Below are 25,703 nucleotides of genomic sequence, written 5' to 3'. Positions count from 1 at the left end.
TACCATCTTGGCTGACAACAGAATTTACTGGGGAAGAAATATCCCTATCTAGATATCCACTATTCTTCTATTCTCTCTACTATTTGTAAACCAGAATTCAAGTAGAAGCGAGTGTAGATTTTCTTAATCCTTTTAGTTTATTTATTTATTTATTATATTTTTAGAGATAAGGGTCTTGCTATGTTGCCCAGGCTGGAGTGCAGTGGCTATTCACAAGTGCAATCATGGCACACTACAGCCTTGAACTCCTGGGCTCAAGTGATCTTCCCACTTCAGCCTCCTGAGTAGCTATGACATGCTTCTACACTCAAATGGCTTTATATATATATATTTTTAATAATTCAACAAAATGTTCAGATTTATCACTTATGTTTAGAGAGATAATTTGTTCTTTTGCTCAGCAAGTTTAAAGAAAACTAAAGGGATTACCCTTTAATCAATTGTTATCTATCACCACACCACTATTCTTTTCATACTGTTTTAAAAATGGCAATCCATAGAGAATGTCAGTTATGCAATCATATTTCCTGAAAAAAGCGGTAAAACAGAGAAAGCTAGCTTTCTTAAATAACTAGGATAGTCTTGCAAAAGGTCACATCTGATTAAGTGTCGAGGTTCTTTTCAGTCCCACAATTACATTACCACAAAAGAAAACAAAAGCCCAGAACATATATCCTTGGACATATAATCTTGTTTACTGTACAATCTGTACAAAGCTGTCCTTAACAAAAAGTAAAAACAACAAGGGTATGAATCCTGGCCTAAGGGAGAAGAATCAAAATCAGATGCAAATACAAAGCAAACCAAAGAGTCTTAAATAAAGAAAGGTTCGAAATGGCTATGGTTGACAAACCCAGTGCTTTTTCTCTACAACAGGAGTCTGTCCACCCATCAGCCCAACTCGGTCTGCTGCCTGTATGGTCTATAAAGTAAGAATGGATTTTACATTTTTAAATAGTTGAAAAAAAATGAAAAGAAGAATATTTCATGACACATGAAAATTATATAAAATTCAGATTTCAATGTGGATAAATAAAGTTTTATCAGAACACAGCCACACCCATTAGTTGACATGTTGTCCAGGGCGGCTCCCTTGCTGCAATAGCAGATTTGAAGAGTAGCAACAGAGTCTGCAGGGCCCCCAAGGCCTAAAATTATCTACATTGTGGCTTTTTATAGAAAATGCTGACCCCTGCTCTCTAGGAAAGTTTCACCAAACTAGAATTGAACTTTCCTACTCAACAGAAGTTTTAGCAGGATTTGAAGGAAAGAATGGGGTGATTTTAATAAAGAGAAATAGTATATGTATACGTAATTTTACAGTTGTTTTTCCAACTACTGTCTTAACTGGACAAGCATCTTTGTAAGAATACAGGATATGCTTAATTACCCCCCACCCTTTTTAAAGCTAAAGAAAACAGAAACTAAGAGGAAACCTAAACAACTTGCCAGGGTTAGAAACCATAGCCATGTCTCCATTATTCTGTCCGCAGAGGCGAACTAGAGAAGCTCCCTCTTCTGTGGGTCAGTTCTGATCTAGGACTTTAACTGAATAAGAAGGGAAGATAAAACTGTGTAAATCCAGGGGTGTATTCCAGGTGCATATTCCAGGTGCATATCCCAGGTGTGCACAAATAAATATATATACATTTATATCACATATTTATGGGTCTGTATACTTTCATACTACTTCCTGTCTTATTACATTGTAGGCTTCTGAATTCAGAGAATTGAGCTGTAAATATGTATAAAAGAAAAGGATAACAAATGTACTTTTCTGAAAATTTGATGTTAAAACAGAATAGACTAGACTAGCCCTATCAAAAATTCCCAGCAAGTCTTTTATCCTTAGCTAATGACCTATAAAACAGTATGCTTATTATAAACCACAAGACAGGCATACTTTGGTTTTAGGACAAACAATATTTAGTAGCCTCAGAAAAAAGGTGTTATCATAAGAAAATCCCTAATATATACATTATTTTTTTCTCCCTCAGGCTAAAATAAGCCAAAGACCATGATAATAAAAAGAACATGTGGTTTTATCTCAGCCGAATAGAAGAGAAAACCATTTCTCTTAAATGAGGGTCTTATAAGACATTATGAGTGGATATGTTACATTATATAGCACGATGTTTTAAAATATAAAGAACGGAATTAGTGCTCATTCTCTCAAACTTGTCTACCATGTACCAGATGCCATGCATTTTACATGCGCTCCTAGCTTATGTCAATTCAAAGTAAAAGTAAGAAAGATATGTGGAATAACCACATAAAATAAAAGTAAAAAAGATAGGGGGATAATCACATAAAATATTCTTGAAAGTCTCGACACAGTTTTCTTTTGCTTTTAAACTGTATCATAGCTTTCTGATTGAATACAGAAACAACCACTGAAGATATTTGATTTTGATTGTTTTAACTTCTTACTTTGAGTTGTTCCCATCTGAGAGAGTATACTCAATTGTCCTCTTGACATTCATAGAAAATTAAATACAGGACTGGGAGCAAATGTTAATGTGTACACAAATCACTGGAGGATCTTGTTAAATGCAGAGTGTGATGCCACAAGTCTGGGCTAGAGCCCAAGATTTCTGCATTTCTAACAAGTTGCCAGGGGATGCTGACCCAGCCGGTCCAGGGAACACACTACATCCCGAGCAGCAAGGCTTTCATATGTTCTCACCTGGACTGCTGCCTTCATCAAAAGTTATATGTTCACCATTCAATCAACAAATATTGCTTGAGCACCAACTAGATGCCAGGCAACTGTGCAAATCTTACACAGTGTGTTTAGGTAAGGGCCTCACAGAGTATGACATTGACGCCCAGACCTGAAGTTGGTGAGATGAGCCAGGCAGATTGGCAGGAACGGCATTCCAGCCAAGCATACAGCCCTCAGGTGTGAACAAGCCTTGGTTGCTCAAAGAACAGCAAGGAGGCTCTTAATACATGTTATTTACTTGGCTTTCGATTTACCACACTTGCCTGGTTTTTCTCTCACGTTCTTCATTTCTTCTCACTCTCCTTAGCTAGTTTTCTCCTCTTCTCCCCTCTAAATGTCAGAGTGCCTCAAGGATCCGAGCTTGATTTCATCTATCTACACTCCCAGCCCTGGTGATCGAACCCAGTCACATGGATTTAAGCACCCCAGAACAGAGGTCTCTGAGAACCAGACTCATCTCCACTGGCCTACGAGACGGCACCGTTTGGAGGACTGCAGACTCTCAAGCTCAGCATGTTCATCCACTCTTCCAAATTGGCTCCTCCCACGGTCTTCTGCATTTTCACAGTTGGCAACTCCATTTTTTTCTATTAGGTTGAAACATAGAAAATTGCCATTTTTGTTGGGGGCGGGGGTAGGTCAAAAAATGGTCTTCCTCTGGCTTAACCTAGTTGCTCATTCTACAAATCATGGTTATCTTTGACTCCTTTCTTTCATACCCTGGATCCAACCCATCAAGAAATATTGTTTCCATCTTCAGAAAATAATCAGAATATGATGGATTTTCATGCTCCACTGTTACCATCTGATCCAAGCCACCATCTCTTCAAACTTAGATGATGGAAAGCTTCCTGACTCTTCTACCTGCTTCTGTCTTGGCACTCTGACGGTGTATTTTCAATACAATGAATAGGGGGATCTTGTGATATTGTCAGATCAAGTCATTTCTCTATAGAAACTAAACCAAAACAAACAAAAAGAAAAACCCCACCTCTGTAATGGTTCCCTACTTATTTCTGAGAAAAAAAAACAAAAACAAAGTATTTGCAATGGCCTAGAAGTCCCTACATCAATGCTATTCACAGTGCTTATTAGAAATGCACATTCCAGGGCCCCAAACCAGAGCTAATGAATCAGAATCTCTGGGTATGGTGTTCAGAAATCCACACTAGCTTGTTAGTTCTCCACGTAGATTCTACAGACCCCTGTCCACTGTGCCTACTTCTCCCACTCCACCCCACCCCAGGAGCATTACCTCATTGACCTTGTCTCCTATAACTATCTTAAGGACATATTCACATATCCAGCCCACATGCTACCAGTGCTCCTGATTCTCCCTCCTCTGCTCTGCTTTGTCCAGAACACAGCTTGGCACACTGTGGGCACTCAGCAAGTATTTGGTACGTCAGTGAAGCAGTGTGGAACCACTGTGGCTGGCGTGCATGGATAAGGGGCAGAACCGAAGAACAAGGGGCCACATTGTGTAGGCAGGGGTTGTAGGCTAGGATTCTGACCACCTCTGGAAACGTCCTGAGGAAATGAAGTGTGACAGTCCCTCAGTCTTCCTAAGTTAGAAAGCTCTAGAGGAACTAAGTCTTCAGGCCAGGCAGTTGATTCACAGCCTGCCACCCTACTTCACATGATAAAGCTTCCTTATCTATCAGGGGCTGCCCAAAGATTGCCAATTCTTACAGCTCTCATCTAGCAGTACAACAAGCCAGTAGGGCCCTGTGGGTCTCAAATGACCGGCCGGAAGCCTGAGATTTGCTTTCACCTCTAGCTGTAGACCCCTAGATAAGTCACAGTTATTCCAAGGTCCCCAAGCTGGCAGTCCATGGACACAAACCACAGGCAAGTCTGTTCACCTAGACAGAATTTAGTGTTCTATGAATTTGTCACCAATGATGAAAAATTGGGAGTTTTCAACCCAAAATCTGGTTTCTCAAACCAGAGTTTGGATTTCTCTTTTCTGGTTGATAAATCAGAAGATCTAGAGATACCAAACTGCACTCCTACTGGGCCAGCAACTTATCAGAGTTGAAAAGCAACAGAGTTGAGAAGTAGCTTCTCCCTTTCAATGAGCACTTACTTTTCATTCTGCAACTCTCATCACTCTTTATTCTGACACTGACAACTGGACTACTTTATTCATTAACCCGTCTGATTCCTGAAGACTTTTAAATCTGCAAATCCTACCTTACCCATTCACACTTCATATCCCTGAACAAGGTTCCAAATCTGATAGAATGATGGTGGCGCAAGTGTGTTCAGAAAGCTACATGAAATGAACAATCTCATAGGAGAAAATAAAATAAATAGGTAGAACTGTAAAAGATAAAATAAAATAAACGGATATAAACTTTAAAAAGATACATACATGTTGCCCATGCAGCAATGGCTCTTTTCAAGAACTTTTCTAAGGAGATGATCAGATACGGGACAAAGATTTAGGTACACAGACATCTATTAGAGCATTATCTCTAACAGAAGTAGGTGGACTACTGCCTGGGGCATGCCGCCCATTTTTGTCAATAAGGTTTTATTGGAAAACATCCATACTTTCATTTAAGTATAGTCTATGGCTGCTTTCAAGCTATAACAGTACAAGAGCATAGTTGAGTAATGGACCCGACGGCCCCAAAAGTCTAAAACACTCTGTTTTTTATAGATAAAGTTTTTCAGCCATTAATTTCTAATAAAAAAATTGAAAACAAATATCTCATAGGCCATGGATTCAATTAATTATAAGGAAGCCATATAGTTCAGGCTTTCAGCCTCAGCACTATTGACACTGGAGCCAGATACTGCTTTGTTGTGGGGGTGATGTGTGAACTGCCTGCTGTCTCCCAGCATCCCTAATCTATACCCATTAGATGCCAAGTAACACAGCATGTCCCACTCCAGTTATGACAACCAAAACTGGCTCCAAACATTGCTAAATGCCTCCTGGGGACAAAACAGCCCTCAGTTGAGAACCACTACATATAAATGGATCCTATGCAGTCATTACAATCCACATTTTATCTAACAATTTTTTGTTTATTTCTTGTCTAGTACACTACATTGAATTTCATATATCAAATTTATTTTTTTTTTTACTTTAAGTTCTGGGATACATGTGCAGAACGTGCAGGTTTGTTACATAGGTATACATTTGCCATGGCGGTTTGCTGCACCTGTCAACCCGTCATCTAGGTTTTAAGCCCCACATGCATTAGGTATTTGTCCTAATGCTCTCCCTGCCCTTGTCCCCCACCCCTCAACAGGCTCCGGTGTGTGATGTTCCCCTCCCTGTGTCCATGTGTTCTCATTGTTCAACTCCCACGTATGAATGAGAACATGTGGTGTTTGGTTTTCCGTTACTGTGTTAATCTAACAATATTTAATGAGACGGAAAGTTCATTAATGTAAATGGGAACATAAAGCAGGTTAAAAACACTATACATGCTGCTATCCAAAATTGATTTTTAAATGCTATTTATATATATGCAAAGCCAAAAAAAAAAACTAATGACAAATTACTCGGTCAAGTCTCAACAATGACTATTCCCGAGCGATAAATTCTCAGTGATTGTTATTTTATTATTTTCTATAATGTACATGACACTGATTTTGTAATTTAAACAAGCTAGACATTCCATGAGAATGAAAGCCTACAGATCTGGACAAATGAAAATATATTCAGGCAGAATTCCTCTACTGAAAATTTTGCAAGCAACAAATAAACCCATGAAGGGGTTACACAATGGTGAAATTCGCCTTGTTTCAACTTTTTCTTGAACTGTTTGATCAGATGGAGAGGACTTTGTTTTTTCTGAAATTTTTGGTCTAACATTCAAGCTTGTACAGTTTGCATTTGTATAATATTTGACACATTTTTATGGTTTTTCCAAAGGCCACAATTACGTGGTTCAATAGTGCCTTTATAATGGCCCATTGTCAGGACCGTCCAGATCCCCCCCACCATGGGAGCTGCGAGTGCAGCATTCCACATGCTAGAACTTTTCCACGTGCCCCAGTTTAGCCCTGCCTCAGAATCGCAGACGTCTTTTTGTTGTACCATTTCCCCCCTCAAATGCCCCCATTGTTTGCAGTTTATCGGGTATTAGAGATGATTACAGCACAGGCAGAACAACTCCTTCTCATAAGTACCGACACTCTTAAGAAACTGGCAGTGGTCAAGTTTGTCAGAGATGAAAACATTGCCTTGGGCCTAAGCAAAAGGTCAGAAAGCCCCTAGGCAGAGATGAGAGCTGCTGAATGCTACTGGTTTGAAGGTCAAGCCCACATGAGCTAAAAACTGTCAAAAAGCAGCCATCTCCTAATAACACAACTTCAGGATCTATATCATGAGACTGAGGGTCCTTCTGGTTTTTGAGAAACTGCATTGGCTTGGGAAATTCTTAAAACTTGCCTTATAGATTATGTTATGATGAAGTTCCAGATTGGAATTAACCTCACCAACAACAGCAGCAGCTCGGCAGTGCTTTCCGACTGGGGCATGCACTGTGCTGAGAGCTTCGCATGCAGGTTTAATGTAACCATCCCCACTTAACAAACCATTCATTCATTCAACCAGGATTTACTCAGCACTCATCTAGGTGCTGAAGACTGAGCAGCAACTAAAGCACAGGCCCTGATTGCATGAAAATCATATTTAAGGTGGGGAAGCAGAGACAAACACAGAGTAATGAACCAACAAAGGAATAAGAATCTCATACAATGAGAAGTGCAATGCAGACAGTAAAAGAGAAAAAAAGGCCATTGCAACAAAGCTATTCTAGAAGCAACAAGTTGGGTGGAACCTCAATGATGAGAAGCCAGCTATGGTGAGGTACAGAAGAGATCAGATACTGAGGTAGGAAGCAGCCCAGCATATTGGATGAATAAGGACAAGATCAACAACCACAGAGCCAGCACTTTTGGAGTACTGACAAGGTCAGTGAGAGCCCTGAAAAGAATGTCTGGGCCAGATGTTGTAGGGCTTTGCAGGCCATTGAAAGGAATTTGATTTTTATTCTCTACTACTTGTAAGAAGCCATTGAGATGTTTTAATAAAGAGAATCAACATGATCTGATGAACACTTTGAAAATGCCCTTGGCTTCTTCTTGGCTTGCACTAAGTCTAATTTAAAAACAGCATAAACATTAAGAGACTTTCTTATATAATGCTCTGAAATGCCTCACGCCACCATGAAGAAGTTGTTATAAATGGTGCACACAGCTATAAAATACTCCACGTATGCCTGCTTGGGACACACAGCTAAGAATACGACCCACTGTCAGAGTAAAATGGAGAGATGCAGTTTAGTATTGTTAAACATCTGAATGGAATTTCAAATAGATCTGAGTTCAAATCCTGGGCAAGTTGCTTAAATGCTTTGGACCTCAGTTTTCTGTTTACAAAATGGGCTCATGGATCCTACCTACCTAATAGTTGCTGGAGATGCTGATAAGCTTAAGTGATGAGATGCATGAAAAGTACTTGGCACATAGTAAATGCTCAGTAAATAAATAATGTTCTCTATGATTGTTCACCTTGGAATTTTTGCTTTCACATCCAAGTGGATTAGTGTTAAATCATATAGCTCACAATCTCAAAAAAAATATAAAGCCACCAAGAAGGAGACGAGAGGACTTTAAAAGATGAAGGAAATATTCAGCCTCTTTCCTGTATCCTTTTATCTTTTTCTCTTTAGCTAACTCAAATATCATAGATGGATTGTGAGAGTAAGAGAAAAAGGGGAAAAACATGAACGTTAGAGCTGGGACACTTGCAGGCCACAGTCTCATACAGAAGGCTTTCGTGACATCTTTCCTCTCATACTTCCAAATGAGCTGGATCAGTCAGTGGTTCTCTTTAACTGGGTTTTAGGGAAATTGTAAATTCCTGAAAATTGTAAGCAAACTTTGACTGTACATTTTTCTGGGGAGAGGTTGAACAAACTACGAGACAGATTTAAAGATGAAATTATGTCTAGGATTTGCAAGTTAGAGGGAGGTATCCGTGAAACAGGATGAGCCGAGTCAATAACTCTCGAAGCTGGGTGATGGGTTACGCGAAGGGTTCATTCTATTATTCACTCTGCTTTCGTATAAATTTGAGACAACCTGTACATATTCACACAGTGCACACATATTTATGTATTTGATATTTTATTTTTATGTATTTATGTCCTCTTTCTCCATAAAAGGAAAAGTGTTATGGTAGCATGTTTACTAAGCAAGCACTTAGCACACCTATCAGCCTATTGCAAGTATCAAATATCTGCTTTTTAGCTTGCTATTCTGGACCTTCACCAGCAATTTTCTTCTAAGAGATCTGACTTGGTGTTGCATGAATTGATTATGGATTCAGGAGGATTCCTGTGATTCTTCTGTGGCGTTGCTGGCACGAGAACTCAGAGAAACATCTTGTTAACTAGCAAAATAAGCTGGATTTGCCCATGGAGTGCTCTCATTGATCTAATCAGGAATGTGTGTTTTAGCCACAAATGAAACATTTTTTAAAAAACTTGTGCAGGGGATACAGAACTGAATTCATATTGACCTTTTCAGATCAAAAAAATCATGACTACCTCTTTCAAACAAATTGGCCAATGATCTACATGGATGTCATCTAAAACACGTAATCAACTGAAACTTAAGCTTACATAGGTATTTAGGCAGAGCTTTATTTTTCCTCACTATAAAAAGTACTTTGCCAAAAAAAAACAAACAAAAACCTATGACTTATCATACTCTACAAAGCAAATTCTCAGAGATTTAAAATTTTTTGAAAATCTATAAAAATCTGTAAAGGGAGGACACACCTATACCAGGCCAATATATGTGGTTTGGATAGTCCCATTTGGATTTGTGTGATAAAAATAATGGATAATGCATATAAAGAGGAAGAGGATAGACTACTTCTTTGGAGAATATAGGTAGGAATTTTAAAGGAGGTAGGAAAATGGGAAGATATAGAGACTCCTCATAATTAGGAGAAGAATTAAAAAGTGAAAATAGGCTAGGTGTGGTGACTCATGCCTGTAATCCCAGCACTCTGGGAGGCCAAGGCAGGCCGATCACTTCAGGCCAACATGGTGAAACCCCATCTCTACTAAAAATACAAAAATTAGCCTGGTGTGGTGGTGTGTGCCTGCAGTCCCAGCTACTCAGGAGGCTGAGGCAGGAGAATTGATTGAACCCGGGAGGCAGAGGTTGCAATGAGCCAAGATCGCATCAATGCATTCCAGCCTAGGTGACAGAGCAAGACTCCATCTCCAAAAGAAAGAAAATAAAGCAATTACTGAGTGCTATGTTACAGGTAGTTTTTCTGAAAGTTTTCAATGGATTCACTTATTTAATCCTCATTACAATCCTACGAAGTAGCAGATGTTATTATCCCCATTTTCAGCATGAGGAAATTGAGGCTTACTCCTAATCACTTTATGAAACACTACCAAACTATGAGTTATTTACAGGATTCATATTTTCAACGGAATTATTTCTGCTTTTGAAACTGTTCAGAGGGCCTATGTAATCACTATTTCTTCTGAGTATTTGTTTTTGTGCTTTATTATAAATAAGGCTTCTCCTGAGAATTTGGTCCCCCGCTGGGTGGACACTGTTGTTAAACCAAAACGCTACCCAATTCCAAAGTGAACAGAATCAGCCCCTCAAGCCAGCAACGGGTCAACAAGGACAGGACCTAACAACGGAGAAAGTCAATATGGACATTTGTTCTGGGAAAACTGCCTTAGGACTTTGACTAATTTAAGGGTTGAGGGTTTGTTTCTTTCTTTCTTTCTTTGTGAGAAGGATGAGATGAGGGGGCTGGTCAGTCAGCAAACAAACAATCTTCCAGACTCAATGGCAATTTTTGTTAACCAAAGGCATCTCAGTATCATGAGATTTGTAAAGGAAAGGTTAAAATACTGTATGATATAGTAATGTCTTTTATAAGAAAGAAAATAGGCCACTGTATCACTGAAGTACCAGTTGTTACGTACTCAGTTGTGAAGCAGTAACAAAAACGGGAAGAAGAGAAATGTCAAGACTGCCCTTTTGTTAAAAACCCACTATATTATGTGGCTTGGATAAAAACAAAAACTAAAAAGCAATGGCGGCCGGGTGTGGTGGCTCACTCCTGTAATCCCAGCACTTTGGGAGGCCAAGGCAGGTGGATCACAACGTCAAGAGATCGAGACCATCCTGGCCAACATGGTGAAACCCTAACTTTACTAAAAATATAAAAATTAGCTGGGTGTGGTGGCATATGCCTGTAGTCCCAGCTACTTGGGAGGCTGAGGCAGGAGAATCACCTGAACCCAGGAGGCAGAGGCTGCAGTGAGCTGAGATTGTGCCACCGCACTCCAGCCTGGCGACAGAGTGAGACTCCGTCTGAAAAAAAAAGCAATGGCATAGTCAATCCTCAAATCTCTATATATTGTGTGGTAGACAGAAAAGAAAGCGAGACCTCAACATGAAAGAAAATACTTCATTTCTATCATCAAGGGGCTTACAACCCAAGGGTTAGGTGGGGGAAACAGGGAGAGTAACCCACACAGAAATTTACAGTAAGGTGCTCCTGCCTATTAAGATGGGAGCTCTCAACTGTACAGGCAGTTTTGCCCTTCAAGGAATTTTAGGCAATGTCTGGAGATACTTTTGGTTGTCATAACTATGTGAGGAGGGGGTGCTACTACCGGCATCCAGTATGCGAGAGTCCAGCGGTGATGCTAAACATCCTACGATGCACAAGACAGCCTTTCAAAACAAAGACTCTTTCGTCCCAGTGTTAATAATGCCACAGTGTAGAAATCCTATCCTAGAAGAGGCTGTGCCAATTTCCTTCCCGACTCCTTTCAGTGGCAGATTTCAGAAAAGGCACAGAAACTAGTCAAGCCCCAGGAATGGCACAGGTATCTCATGAACTATTGACATGCTTCCTTCTTATATCTGATATTCACAGTTATCAAGAGTTATTTCACATCTTGTCTTGACATGCAAAGGAGATGTTTCTAGCTAATTGGAGGGTGCAGGAAACGTCATCTTCACTGTAAATAGCCTAATTCAATACTCAAGAATTCATACTGATTTGAGTTCTGGACAGTCAGATGGACAGGAAAAGCTATGCTATAAATCAAGAACGATCAATTCAACACAATAATGATAAACTATGCCCTAAAACTATATAGAATGAAGCTGAACAATTCTAATGTTTCAAAAAGCACACTAGGAATCTGCTTTTGGTGTTTCTGAGTCATTCCGAACATCAACTATGAGTGCATTATTGATATCTGAGAGTGTCACTTAAAAGTCTCTTATGTCTGATAAAATAGTAAATAAAGGAACGTTACTATACTTGCAAACAAAACCAGAAGTTGGCTAATGCTTAGCTTACAATAAGCTTACGGAGTTTCACATATAGCCTCCTTACTCTCCCAAATTCTCCATGATAAAACAGCAAATCAGCCGGGTGCAGTGGCTCACGCCTGTAATCCCAGCACTTTGGGAGGCCGAGGCAGATGGACTGCCTGAGGTTAGGTGTCCGAGACCAGTGTCTGGCCAACATGGTGAAACCCTGTCTCTACTAAAACTACAAAAAAATTATCTGGGCATGGTGGCGTGTGCCTGTAATCCCAGCTACTTGGGAGGCTGAGGCAGGGGAATTGCTTGAACCAGGGAGGTGGAGGTTGCAGTGAGCCGAGGTCGAGCCACTGCACTCCAGCCTGGGCAACAGAGTGAGACTCTGTCTTGTAGGGACCAGCCCCACAGGGTCGGTGGGTCTCTCCCCGTGTGCAGTGACGAGAGAGTGTAGAAATAAAGACACAAGACAAAGAGATAAAAGAAAAGACAGCTGGGCCCGGGGAACCACTACCACAAATGCGCGGAGACCGGTAGTGGCCCCGAATGTCTGGCTGCACTGTTATTTATTGGATACAAAGCAAAAGGGGCAGGGTAAAGAGTGTGAGTCATCTCCAATGATAGGTAAGGTCACATGGGTCACGTGTCCACTGGACAGGGAGCCCTTCCCTGCCTGGCAGCTGAGGCAGAGAGGGAGAGGAGACAGAGAGAAAGACAGCTTACGCCATTATTTCTGCATATCAGAGACTATTATTACTTTCACTAATTTACTACTGCTATCTAGAAGGCAGAGCCAGGTGTACAGGATGGAACATGAAGGCGGACTAGGAGTGTGACCACCGAAGCACAGCATCACAGGGAGATGGTTAGGCCTCCGGAAAACCACGGGCAAGCCTGACTGATGTCAGGCCCTCCACAAGAGGTGGAGGAGCAGAGTCTTCTCTAAACTCCCCCGGGGAAAAGGAGACTCCCTTTCCCTGTCTGCTAAGTAGTGGGTGTTGTTCCTTGACACTTTCCGCTACCGCTAGACCACGGGTCCGCCTGGCAACGGGCATCTTCCCAGATGCTGGCATCACCGCTAGACCAAGGAGCCCTCTGGTGGCCCTGTCTGGGCATAACAGAAGGCTCGCACTCTTGTCTTCTGGTCACACCTCACTAAGTCCCCTCAGCTCCTATCTCTGTATGGCCTGGTTTTTCCTAGGTTATGATTACAGAGAGAGGATTATTATAATATTGGAATAAAAAGTAATTGCTACAAACTAATGATTAATGATATTCATATATAATCATATCTAAGATCTATATCTGGTATAACTATTCTTGTTTTATATTTTATTATACTGGAACAGCTGGTGTCCTCGGTCTCTTGCCTTGGCGCCTGGGTGGCTTGCTGCCCACACTGTCTGAAAACAACAACAGCAGCAGCAACAATAACAACAAAAAACAGCAACAAAAAAAAACCCCAGCAAATAATTTTTCATCTGTTCATTTCCTACATTTTGAAAAGTTATTTCTTTCCAATCTATTTTTTAAACTTTCCAAAGTCATTTGTTCATAATTTTATAAATAACCCCAGACTTTTATTTTCTAATTGCTCTTCAAGTATTATAGAAGTGTGCCAAATGCTCTCAGAGATGGGGCAAGAGGCACATTGTGCTATTCTTTTGTATTTATTAGAAATTTTCCATAATAAAGAGTTAGAAGGAAAGGAAAAAGTATAGTTTTTAGATATATACACACACATGCACATACATGCACAAATGTTGTCTTGGGGGTTTACAAAAAAAAATTTAATCCTAATGCTTCAATGGCAAATTCTTTGCAGTTTTAAAGATTCTAGATCGTTTTATTTTATTATTTGCCTCCCTACAAAACTATCTGCAAACCACTTAGAAAAACAAAACAAAACAAAAGCTACAGTAGTAGAAATAGCATTAAATTAAACAAGATTGTTCCTACAAAGTTCTTGTCTCAAATGATACCCATGACAAATAAGTGCAGACCCAAATGATCTTAAATGGACTTAAATGGGCTCTTACTTTTAGCAAAATGGCAAGTGGTTTCAATCGCCAAACTGAAGCTTCCTTGTATTATGTATATTATTTAATTAACACTTTGGAAAATGCACTGTGGTGGCTGAATTTAAGTGTTTTCTTCTCCCCGTTTTGGTATTGAAATATGGGATGATGCAGTTATACCTTTACCACTGAATATGCTTAGAAAGTCAACCTTGGATGTAAAAGAGAACGAGCGAGAAGAGACAGAGAAAGATTTCTTGAAATAATAGAAATGACTATGGAAAAACATAACAAAAGGCTAAATAATGCAAAATTTTTTATTCTTTTTCCCTAATATAGAACATGATTATTTACTTAACAACAAGCCATGCCATTTTCCATATTCAAAATAGTTATTGGAGAGTATGAGAATAAGTTGTAACAATTCTCACCCTCTCCCTTCAGAGAAAAGAAAATAAGAGAGGAAGGTTAACTTTTATTGAGCATCTCTTATATACAAAGCATAATGCTCAAGCCTTTTCATACATTAATATTTCTTGATGCTCACAATGAATGTAAGTGCTACCACTAGTCTCACTTCACAGATGAGGAAACTGAGGGCAGAGGGTTACATAACTAGCTTGATGTGACTTGCCTGCTTTCATATAACCAGAGATCTGAACCCTGATGTGCTGGACTCCAAACCAACCAAATATGCAGGATGCATCGTGGCTTCATTTCTCAGAGGTAATCAATGCACTGCTATCAGTGATATGGCAAACATACTTATTTTAAAAGTCCCAAAATTGTTGTCACAAAAAGGAACATACGAGAGAAAAAACACCAAGGAAATTTTATTGAATTCATCTTGTCATCCTTAATACCAGGAAAAGACACCAATTTTATTACTTTCCTTATTAAAAATATAATGTGGGCCAGGCGTGGTGACTCACACCTGTAATCCTAGCACTGTGGGAGGCTGAGGCAGGCAGATCACTTGAGGTCAGAAGTTCGAGACTAGCCTGGCCAACATGGCGAAAACAAAAAATTTAGCGAGGCATGGTGGTGAACTCCTGTAATCCCAGCTACTCAGGAGGCTGAGGCACAGGAATCACTTGAACCCGGGAGGTGGAGGTTGTAGTGAGCAGAGACCATGTCACTGCACTCCAGCCTGGGTGACAGAGTGAGACTGTGTCTCAACAAAAACAAAAACAAAACCCCAAAACCCATAATGTACATGACTGGAGAAAATTTAGAGAAAAGGATGAGCAAAAGGAAGGAACAACATATAACAATCCCATGCTGAGAAAAAAACTCTGACAACATTATGGTATTTGTCTTTCTATTGATCAAAGTGGAATTTTAATGTGGTCCCCAACCATGCTAGCAGAACTGGAGCAAAAGTTGTCTTATTCAAAAACAAAAACAAAAACAAAAACAAAAAACAGTCTCTATCTTTTCTAAAGGAGGATCTATACATATCCCTAAGACATAAAATGTACCAACCAACCTGCCCACCAAGATCCTGAAAGATTATGTCTGGTTTAACCTCTGAGAGTACAGTTCAGATCTGGATTATTAATTTAAATTACATTTTACGATTCTTGACTCTTTACATGTTGTAGGATCCCAATTCCAGGGAATACTTGCAGCTACAAATAGCCCTTTGCTAGATTCCAAGGGATAGAAATGGAATCATCAGTGGGAAGAAGAATATAAGGAATGTTATATAAGGAGAGATTTAATGCTGAAAAACCCTATGCTTTTCCCCAAGCCTTCTGATTTTGCTACACTAATTCCTCTTCAGCACCATACCATGAATGAACCACCCTCATCTAAGAGCAGAATCATAAGCCAGGCTGACTTTAAGGGCTAAAGATGTCAAAAAAAAAAAAAAAAAAAAAGGAGGCAACTGTATCAAGTCAAATATCATCATATTTTCATATTTCAAAGTCAGGGATGGTAACCAATACCTAAGAATTTCCCAGTCCCAAGTCCTCAAACCATGCATACTAACCTTAATGCCAGTAACTTAAATATGCACAAAAGAGACTTTTCGGTCATTATTCCCAGAACCAGTCTATTGTGATTTTTCAGATACACCCACACACATCCATTTCCAGACTATAATATCACCTGCTCGATTTAAGCCTCTAAATGTCAGGTCAGATGTCCTTCTTGTTTTTCTTGTTTTTATACCCTGTTACTTAATATGCTGCCCATCATGCACTGGACATATAATATGGACACTTAGTGTCCAACATGTACTAGACATGCACTAAACATATGTCAAATGAACAAGCAACAATACCAGAATCTTACAGGAGACAGAAGGTATTCTAAATATTAAAAATGGTAGACTGGCAGATTTACCAAGGGGCTAACTAATACACCATGATGTGTTTATTTTATGATAATATCACTTAATTCTACAAGAATCCACTTGTAAATACCGTAACTGACTCACAACATCCAAGGTAAGGAAAATATTCTGATATATGTAATCGTGATGAAATCGAAACTTTTTACTTTAAAAAATATTGAGGTCAGTGTTAACAGTCATATGACAGTCATAAGTTTATTATGATGTGCATCATATTACCTTGTTTAGATACAGGATATTTATTATTAGGTCATTTATTTGTTTTCCTAGTATTAAATTAAAAAGCAGTACTTTTTAGTAAATATTTGCTTAACAAACATAGCTTGCCTACATAAAATGTTTAAAATTTTTTAAACAATCCCAAATTTAACTCACTCAATTCCGAACTTGTAAAATTTCACATCAAAAGGAGGACTGTGTTTGTGTTTAAGTCAATTAAGGAAAGGTATAAATCAAGTATACTAATTTTATTATTAAAGACTCAAGGGTTGATAAGATTTCCTTCTGGGTTCTGAAGCCCCAAATACAACATTCAGATGCCAAAGCTTTAGATGTGAACACGTTCATAAAATTATTTTTCAAAATAATGAAAATTTATCAGTAATCTCTGACATTAGAAGAATGGCAAAATAAGTCAGTTTATTTGAATTATTATGTGATTATTTAAAATGATATATGTGTATATAGCAACATAAAAAAAGACACTGAAAATAAAATGCAGATGTAAAAGTATAAAATCTATGATTGCACAAATGTAAAAACATATGAATAGGAAAAAGACTGGGATAATTTTATTTTAAAATAGTTTTGTATCAGAACAATGGAATATGATGATGTTTTCATGTTTTCTGCCTTTCAAACTTTCTAGCATAATTATTGTAATAACAATTTGGCAATTGCTTTGGCTGCAGAATCATCCTCCTACTCTAGAAATGAGAAAATGCAGGTGTTCCTTTGCCAGCCTCCCTTGCAGCTAGGGAATGAACATGTGACTGAGGATCCACCAATCAGGTGTTCTGCACTGGACTCAGGTGTTAGAGATAAAGGATAAGGAAAAGGAACAGGGACCACAGGGAGTGGGCAAGGCTGTGGGAAGACTGAATTATTGGTGCAATAGAAACAGAGAAGCAGGCTTCCATTGCTCTCCAGACCAATTCTGCAGTGTGTTAGAGGTACTGCTCCCGGTTCCAAGCCTGGTCTTCTTACTGCCTAGCAACTCAGCAGGTAACCCAATACCCTGTCAATAAATTCATTTTCTTTCAAAATTAACAAAAGTTGCTTATTGTTGCTAGCTATTAAAAACTCTGACATAGGGTTATGGTTTTATTAATCCTGTAAATACAGGCATTAGGTTATAAATATATATATTTTAAATAGGTACATATTTAAATATATATAAATATTTGTACATACAAATATATATATGAAGTGGCAATATCATTCATTAATTTTCATGTATTAGGATTTCTTTATACAAACAAGAATTGTGTGGTATGATTCATTTTTATTATGCTTATGATATATATTCTTGTGTTTAAAGGAAATCTATTATAGACTCTGGTTTAGAAAATAATTTTATAATACAGAAAATCTCAAATGAATGGATTCTCTTAGATTTCTTCCCATTGGAAATCACTGCAATGAGATTCTAACATTTTTCTCTAGGCTGTATCTTACAATCAAATGTAATATGTGGAGACAGGTAGTATCTCTACTGAGCTTTAGAGAAAAGTGTGATTGATTTATTATGCTTAATAACTATCTCTGAATCTACGTAGTATTGCACAGTGATTGACCTACAGAACACAAGGGTTCCTTGTGACATAAAGGAATACACTTCTCGTAAGGTGTTTACATTTCATTAGAACCTATGAAGAACCTACTAAACTACGTTTTATATCTCCCCCTTGTGCTTAGTGGAATACATTACTCATGGCAGACATTTAATAAATATCTATTCAAATCCTGACTTTATATGAACTGTCCTGAATTGCTTATTATTTTTAAAGGTGGAGCCCTCCACTTCCTCTGGAATATATCTGTAGAGTATAATGGCCTTAACTGCTAAAGGAAAAAAGTCAGACAAAATGAGGTCATGGGTTGCAAAGGAAGAAGTCAGGCTCAGGATTCCTCTTCTTAATCTCCTATTTTAACAACCAGGCAACTAACACAGCCCATCCCCCTGAAGAACTACCCAGCCCTTGGCAATCACCCTTTCTCGAGTACTTACTCATCCAACACCGCACAATGATGACATCAGCCCAGTGCTCCAGGGGGGGACAGGTAGGTGTCACTACTGCCAACTCACAAGTAGATGAAGTATCCCAAGCCAGAAGAAGCAATAATTTGTGCAAGTACAGACAATAACTGCACGATGAAGTGGCAGGTTCATCTCCTGGGGAGTTTTCCCAGCATGACCCAATTGAAATATCCTCTTCTGAAATATAAAACCGTTCCTCAAAAACAGAGTTGTTCAGGCTGGGTGTGGTGGCTCATGCCTGTAATCCCAGCACTTTGGGAGGCCGAGGGAGGCGGATCACCTGAGGTCAAGAGTTCAAGACCAGCCTGGCCAACATGGTGAAACCCTGTCTCTACTAAAAATACAAAAATTAGCCAGTTGTGGTGGCATGTGCCTGTAATTCCAGCTACTCAAAAGGCTGAGGCAGGAGAATCTCTTGAACCCGGGAGGCAGAGGTTGCAGTGAGCCAAGATCACACCATTGTACTCCAGCCTGGGTGACAAAGTGAGACTCCAACTCAAAAAACAAACAAACAAAAAAGTTCCATTCTAATAGCATGATTTAATGGGTATATGAACTATGTGTGTGTGACTGTTTGCCTGTCTAGCAAAGAGGCAGTAGAGGAAGGCAACCACAGCAGAAATAAATGGAAAAGCCCATGAAAACAACTTCTACTGAGAATAAGCATTTTGTTAATTCACATTTCAAAAAGGAAGAAAATTCCCCTTCTCATTTGAAGTGCCATAATCCATTGTGTCACAGTTAATAAAAAGCACTATATCAAATCTAGACTGCATTTCTGAAAGCCTGTTACAGCTTTATATCATCTTGAATATGGGAAGGTTGAGTAGGCATCACCACCAAAACAATTCAAGGGCCTTCGTTTTATCATGCTATTAATACGTTCGTTAGGATGATGTAAAATCACTGGCCTAGTTTACACACCCATGCAACCAGGGAACTACCTGGCTCTCCCTTCCTGTCCAATGAGCTGTGCTATTATTTATATCTGAAAAGAGTAGACTGCACCATCATAAATGAGATGCAGTCAATCACTATGTGTGATGATCAGGCACCTCAAGGGCTGAAATCTGAGTCACCTTCATGCAAACTCAACTGTGCACCATTGTCACTGCTCCATTACCTCAGGTTTCTTTGGAGTCTTAGAAAAACCTTAGATTACTAAAAAGGCAAATGAGATCTCTCAAGGAAGAATTCATCTCCTAAAGAAAAATAGTGGTATAAAACATGAAATGCAATACATGACGTGCTTCCTTCATATCTTTAGGTGGAAGTGTCATTCAGACATCAGTAATACTACTAACACTGTACATTAAAAATGAGAAAACAAGCTCATCAAAAAATCCCAAAAGAATAAAGACAAATATAAACAAATACAAAAAGCCCCCACTCCCTACTCTCTCTTATCTCTACTCTTTAATTAATTTAAGAGTTTACATGCATTCTCTGCTTTATTTATAGGCTAATTCAAATAGAATTAAATAAAATATAATTATATATCTATATACATCCATTCAAAACAAACATCTGGTTACATGATACATATTTTTCTGCCGCTTGCTTTTTAAATAATAATAATATATCCTAGACAACTTTCCATGTCAACACACCTAGATCTATCTTTCTTTTCAAAAGCAGCCACCAAATGTTCCATTTTATTACTAAAAATTTTAAATCATTCCCAGATTCAAAGGCATTTCTATTGTTCTCAATTTTCACTATGGTAAGTAATGCAGAATTGAATATTCTTGCATTATGAACATACTGGACCTTTATATAGGCTTTCTGGAGTGTGGGGTCTTTGAGGTAGAGGATAGTTGGCCAAAGAGACTGCCTGTTTTCCATGTTGAGAGATGCAGCCCAAATTCCTTGCAAAAAGCAATTCTGTTTATATTCTAACCAACAGAGGATCCAAGTGCCCATTCACCCACACTTTCCCCAACACTGACTCTAGCAGGTTTGTGAAGCTTTCTAACAATTTCTGTGTGTGGCTTATAGAATGATGATCATACTTTCTTTGGTAAATTGCATGAGGCTTGGCTTCAAAGAAATCATAGGCAAAGTTCCTGTCCTAAAAGATTATGATAGTATGAGGGAAAATACCAACAGAGATGACTAGAACATGTGCAAGCAAATACAGTGATGGCAAGTTTCTGATGAACACCTTGGTTGAGATGCGCCTCATTACTTTTATTTCCCTGAAAGTATTCCTTACCTTTTTTGTTAACTTTTAAAATTTGTGGTAAATGATAGAATAGTCATTGTTCTGTCTCCCAGAATGAAAAAAAACCAAAAATATTACCATGTTTGCTTTGTATTAAATATTGAAGACAACAATAAGCCCCATAAGTTCCCTGCTCTCCCTCCCCAGAGGCAACTATTACCCAGAATTTGATGTGTAGTCATCCAATCCATGTGTTTATGCTTTTGCAAGATAGCACCTATAACTTTGTGTGATTTTCTTCAAAAATTACATACTTGTTGACCATACATGTGCTTGAACAAACTTGCTTTTATCACTCAATATTTAGTTTCTGAGATCTATCCATGAAAAAACACACCCATCTAATTCATTTATTTTCTCTCCTTTATGATGTGCCATGTAATCTACTCCCTTATTGATGGGCATTTAGGTTGACTGCAGTTTGTTGCAATCACAGATAATGCTGCAGTGAACATCCCCATGTTTGTCTCCTTTATGGCTTCTGCAGGGTGTAAGCCCTGAGGTGGAATCATTAAATGGTAGGTTGCACACACTGGAAACTTTATTAAATATTGCCAAACTGTTCTTCAAGGTATTTGTACCATCTTTGCTCTCACTAGCAATGTATGAAGGTTCTGATTTCCTTTTCTCTCCAAACATACCATTATCAGGCTCTCTAAATTTTTCCAAGCTGATTGTAAAATACTATTTGTATCTGTGTATTACTTTAATGTGCAATTCCTTAGGTACAGATTGAATTTTTGTGAACTGTCTATGCATATTCTTTGCCTTCTTTCCCACCCCATTGTTTTCTTATTGATGTTCAGGAGTTCTTTATATATTCTAGGTACTAATCCTACACTTGTTATTTATGTTATCAATATGGTTCTCCTATTTATTACTTTTTATCAACTTTGTCTTTCTAATTAACACCATCTCCTGGAAGTGTGGTTAAAAACCTAACAGGAATTGCACACAGTGGTGCATGCCTGTTGTCCTGGCTACTGGGGAGGCAGAGGCAGGAGGATTGCTTGAGCCCAAGAGTCTGAGGCACAGTGTGCTATGATCATGTCACTTCACTCCTGCCTGGACAACATAGCAAGAGCCCATCTATACTGGTCCGTTTTCATGCTGCTGATAAAGACATACCTGAGATTGGGAAGAAAAAGAGGTTTAATTGGACTTACAGTTCCACACGGCCGGTGAGGCCTCAGAATGATGGTGGGAGGTGAAAGGCACTTCTTACATGGTGGCAGCAAGAGAAAATGAGGAAGAAGCAAAAGCAGAAACCCCTGATAAACCCATCAAATCTCATGAGATTTATTCACTATCATGAGAATAGCACGGGAAAGACTGGCCCCCCATGATTCAATTACCTCCCCCTGGGTCCCTGCCACAACATGTGGGAATTCTGGGAGATACAATTCAAGTTGAGATTTGGGTAGGGACAGAGCCAAACCATATCATTCCACCCCTGGCCCCTCCAAATCTCATGTCCTCACATTTCAAAACCAATCATGCCTTCCCAACAGGCTCTCAAAGTCTTAACTCATTTCAGCATTAACCCAAAAATCCACAGAAGGGACAAGGCAAGTCCCTTCTGCCTATGAGCCTGGAAAATCAAAAGCAATCTACTTACTTCCTAGCTACAATGGGGGTATAGGTACTGGGTAAATACAGCTGTTCCAAATGGGATAAATTGGCCAAAACAAAGCGGTTACAGGGCCCATGCAAGTGTGAAATCCAGCGGAGCAGTCAAGTCAAATTTTAAAGCTCCAAAATGATTTCCTTTGACTCCAAGTCTTACGTCCAGGTCATGCTGATGCAAAAGGTGGGTTCCTATGGTCTTGGGCAGCTCTGCCCCTGTGGCTTTGCAGGGTAGAGCCTCCCTCCTGACTGTTTTCATGGGCTGGCATTGAGTGTCTGAGGTTTTTCCAAGCTCACACTTCACGCTGTCAGTGGATCTACCATTCTGGGGTATGGAGGATAGTGGCCCTCTTCTCACAGCTCCACTAGGCAGTGTCCCACTAGGGACTCTATGTGGGGGCTCCAACCCCACATTTCTCTTCTGCACTGCCCTAGCAGAGGTTCTCCATGAGGGCCCCACCCCTATAGCAAACTTTTGCCTGAGCATCCAGGCATTTCCATACATCTTCTGAAATCTGGACAAAGGTTCCCAAACCTCAATTCCTGACTTCTCTGCACATGCAGGCTCAACACCACATGGAAGCTGCCAAGGTTTGGGGCCTCCAACCTCTGAAGCCATAGCCCAAGCTCTATGTTGGCCCCTTTCAGCCACAGTTGGAGAGGCTGGGACACAGGGCACCAAGTCCCTAGACTGCACACAGCACAGGGATTGTGCTGGGAATGGCACTTGGAACCACTTTTTCCTCCTGGGCCTCCAGGCCTGTGATGGGAAGGGCTGCCATGAAGGTCTCTGACATGGCCTGGAGACATTTTCCCCATGATCTTGGGGATTAACATTAGGCTCCTTGCTACTTATGCAAATTTCTGAAGCCAGCTTGAATTTCTCCTGAAAAAATGGGTTTTTCTTTTCTACTGCATCATCAGGCTGCAAATTTTCTGAACTTTTATGCTCTGTTTTCCTTTTAAAATGGAATGGTTTTAACAGCACCCAAAGTCACCTTTTGAATACTTTGCTGCTTAGAAATTTCTTCCGCCAGATACCCTAAATCATCTCTGTCAAGTTTCAAAGTTCCACAAATCTCTAGGGCAGGGAAAAATGCTGCCAGTCTATTTGCTAAAACATAACAAGAGTCACCTTTGCTCCAGTTCCCAACAAGTTCCTCATCTCCATCTGAGACCACCTCAGCCTGGGCCTTATTGTTCATATCACTATCAGAATTTTAGTCAAAGCCATTCAACAAGTGTCTTGGAGGTTCCAAACTTTCCCACATTTTTCTGTCTCCTTCCTAGCCCTCCAAACTGTTCCAACCTATGCCTGTTACACAATTCCAAAGTCGCTTCCACATTTTTGGGTATCGTTTCAGCAACACCCCACTCTGCTGGTACCAATTTACTCTATTAGTCCATTTTCACACTGCTGATAAAGACTTACCTGAGACTGGGAGGAAAAAGAGGTTTAATTGGATTTACAGTTCCACATGGCTGGGAAGGCCTCAGAATCATGGCAGGAGGTAAAAGGCACTTATATGGTGGTGGCAAGAGAAAATGAGGAGGAAGCAAAAACAGAAACCCCTGATAAACCCATCAGATCTCGTGAGACTTATCCATTCACTATCATGAGAACCACATGGGAAAGACCAGCCCTCATGATTCAATTACCAACCCCCCGGGTCCTTCCCACAACATGTGGGAATTCTGGGAGACACAATTCAAGTTGAGATTTGGTTGGGGACACAGCCAAGCCGTATCACCATGTCTTTAAAAAACAAACAAACAAAAAAACCTAATAGAACTTAGCAGCTGGTAAAGGAAATCACTATATCCTATAACTATAAGCATCAAAGATATTTTCTAAGGACTTATTTCACATAAATAAAACAAACATAAATAATCTCAACTTAAAAGCAAAACTGATAGGTGCAAAGGAACTAACCTTAATACAAATCTTAAAAGACTGTGTTAGCTCACGTAGGGACAAATATTCTCAGATTGTCACTTATTCCTTTCTTCTAACAAGAACAAAAATCCTAAGTGGAAGAATTACCAGATAAAAGGATATAAAAACCACTGAAGCTTCTGATGCATTTTGCCAAATTTTCTTATGGGAAAGTTGTACCTAATTTCATTATTACCAGTAGTGCTCATTCATCCCACATGTTCATCAAAGGTTGAATGGCAGTGTGGTAAACAAACCACAAATATCAATGTGGTAAAGAAACAAAAAAAAACTTACTATTATTTCCATATGATATTTAAAGAATAATGATTTCATTAAGTTTGTTGAAGTAAAACTATTTTTTGAATTGCCAAATTTAAAAAACTTCTACTCAGTACTTTTTAAAAAATGGGGCTGGTGTACAAAAAGAAAATATTAGTTTGAAAACTCCTGCCAAATAAAGGAGCGATAAATGATGTAGAAGAGTTTTTTTTTTATTGTTTTTGCTTTGTCTTTTTATTTCAATAGACAAAGCAGAAAATGGAAATTATTCTTCACTTTTCAACTGCATTGCAGACCAGGAGAGACATTCCTACACCCAAGGGGAGCACAGCTCCTTCTGGAATGTTTTCTCACTATGTAAAGTGGTACAAAACTGAATCACACCCCTAGAGTTAATTGGGTGGCCCAACCACTTTGAGAACATTTCTGTATCCTTCTGTCTCATGTATCCATCTAGATTCTATAGCAAGATCAAAAGGCAAAAGCCCCATAAGGTTTCCTGCAAAAGAGTTTTAGGGAAAAATAAAACAAAACAAACAACAACAAAAAAAGCTGGATATTTTGGTTTACTTCCCTCATTCTTGAAATGAAACTCTTAAAATAATAAATAAATAATTTCCTCTTCCTTTCAAAAAACCATTTGTAACACTTACTGTTTTTAAGCCTCTTCTGAGTCAACTTTAAGAAACTCTCTTTGAGCCCAGCAGAATATGATTTTCTTGTGTTCACAGAGAAAACTGCTTATTCTCAAGAGCAATTACTGTGTTTTGGAGCTTAGCCCTCATACACTTAAAATGTCCGTGAAGAGGTGACTGGTCTGAGGAAAGCCTCAGACTACTGAAAAAGAGAGCCAATGATCTAAGCTTAGGTAAAGCAGATGGTCTACCCAGACTTAACAGTGCTCAAAATTACCAGGGAT

General features: G+C 39.2%; 1 protein-coding gene across 9 annotated transcripts in view, besides 3 other annotated features; it reads right to left on the bottom strand.

The window, feature by feature from the left end:
- MITF (melanocyte inducing transcription factor) overlaps positions 1-25,703 on the bottom strand; it is a 228,869-nt gene that overhangs the window by 34,979 nt on the left and 168,187 nt on the right. The gene's annotated exons all lie outside the window — the stretch shown is intronic.
- Positions 9,914-11,319: an enhancer, noted in NCBI's record as "SacI/SmaI fragment". NCBI's record gives the evidence for it as "EXISTENCE:reporter gene assay evidence [ECO:0000049][PMID:12028584]".
- Positions 10,568-10,597: a protein binding site, noted in NCBI's record as "SOX10 sites S2/S1". NCBI's record gives its function as "promotes enhancer activity" and the evidence as "EXISTENCE:protein binding evidence [ECO:0000024][PMID:12028584]".
- Positions 10,568-10,864: an enhancer, noted in NCBI's record as "-14.8 to -14.3 core enhancer". NCBI's record gives the evidence for it as "EXISTENCE:reporter gene assay evidence [ECO:0000049][PMID:12028584]".

The sequence above is a fragment of the Homo sapiens genome, chromosome 3 (genome assembly GCF_000001405.40).
Source record: "Homo sapiens chromosome 3, GRCh38.p14 Primary Assembly".
Classification (NCBI taxonomy): domain Eukaryota; kingdom Metazoa; phylum Chordata; class Mammalia; order Primates; family Hominidae; genus Homo; species Homo sapiens.
The sequence above is the reverse complement of the archived record's forward strand: the minus strand, read 5'-3'. Positions and strand labels throughout refer to the sequence as shown.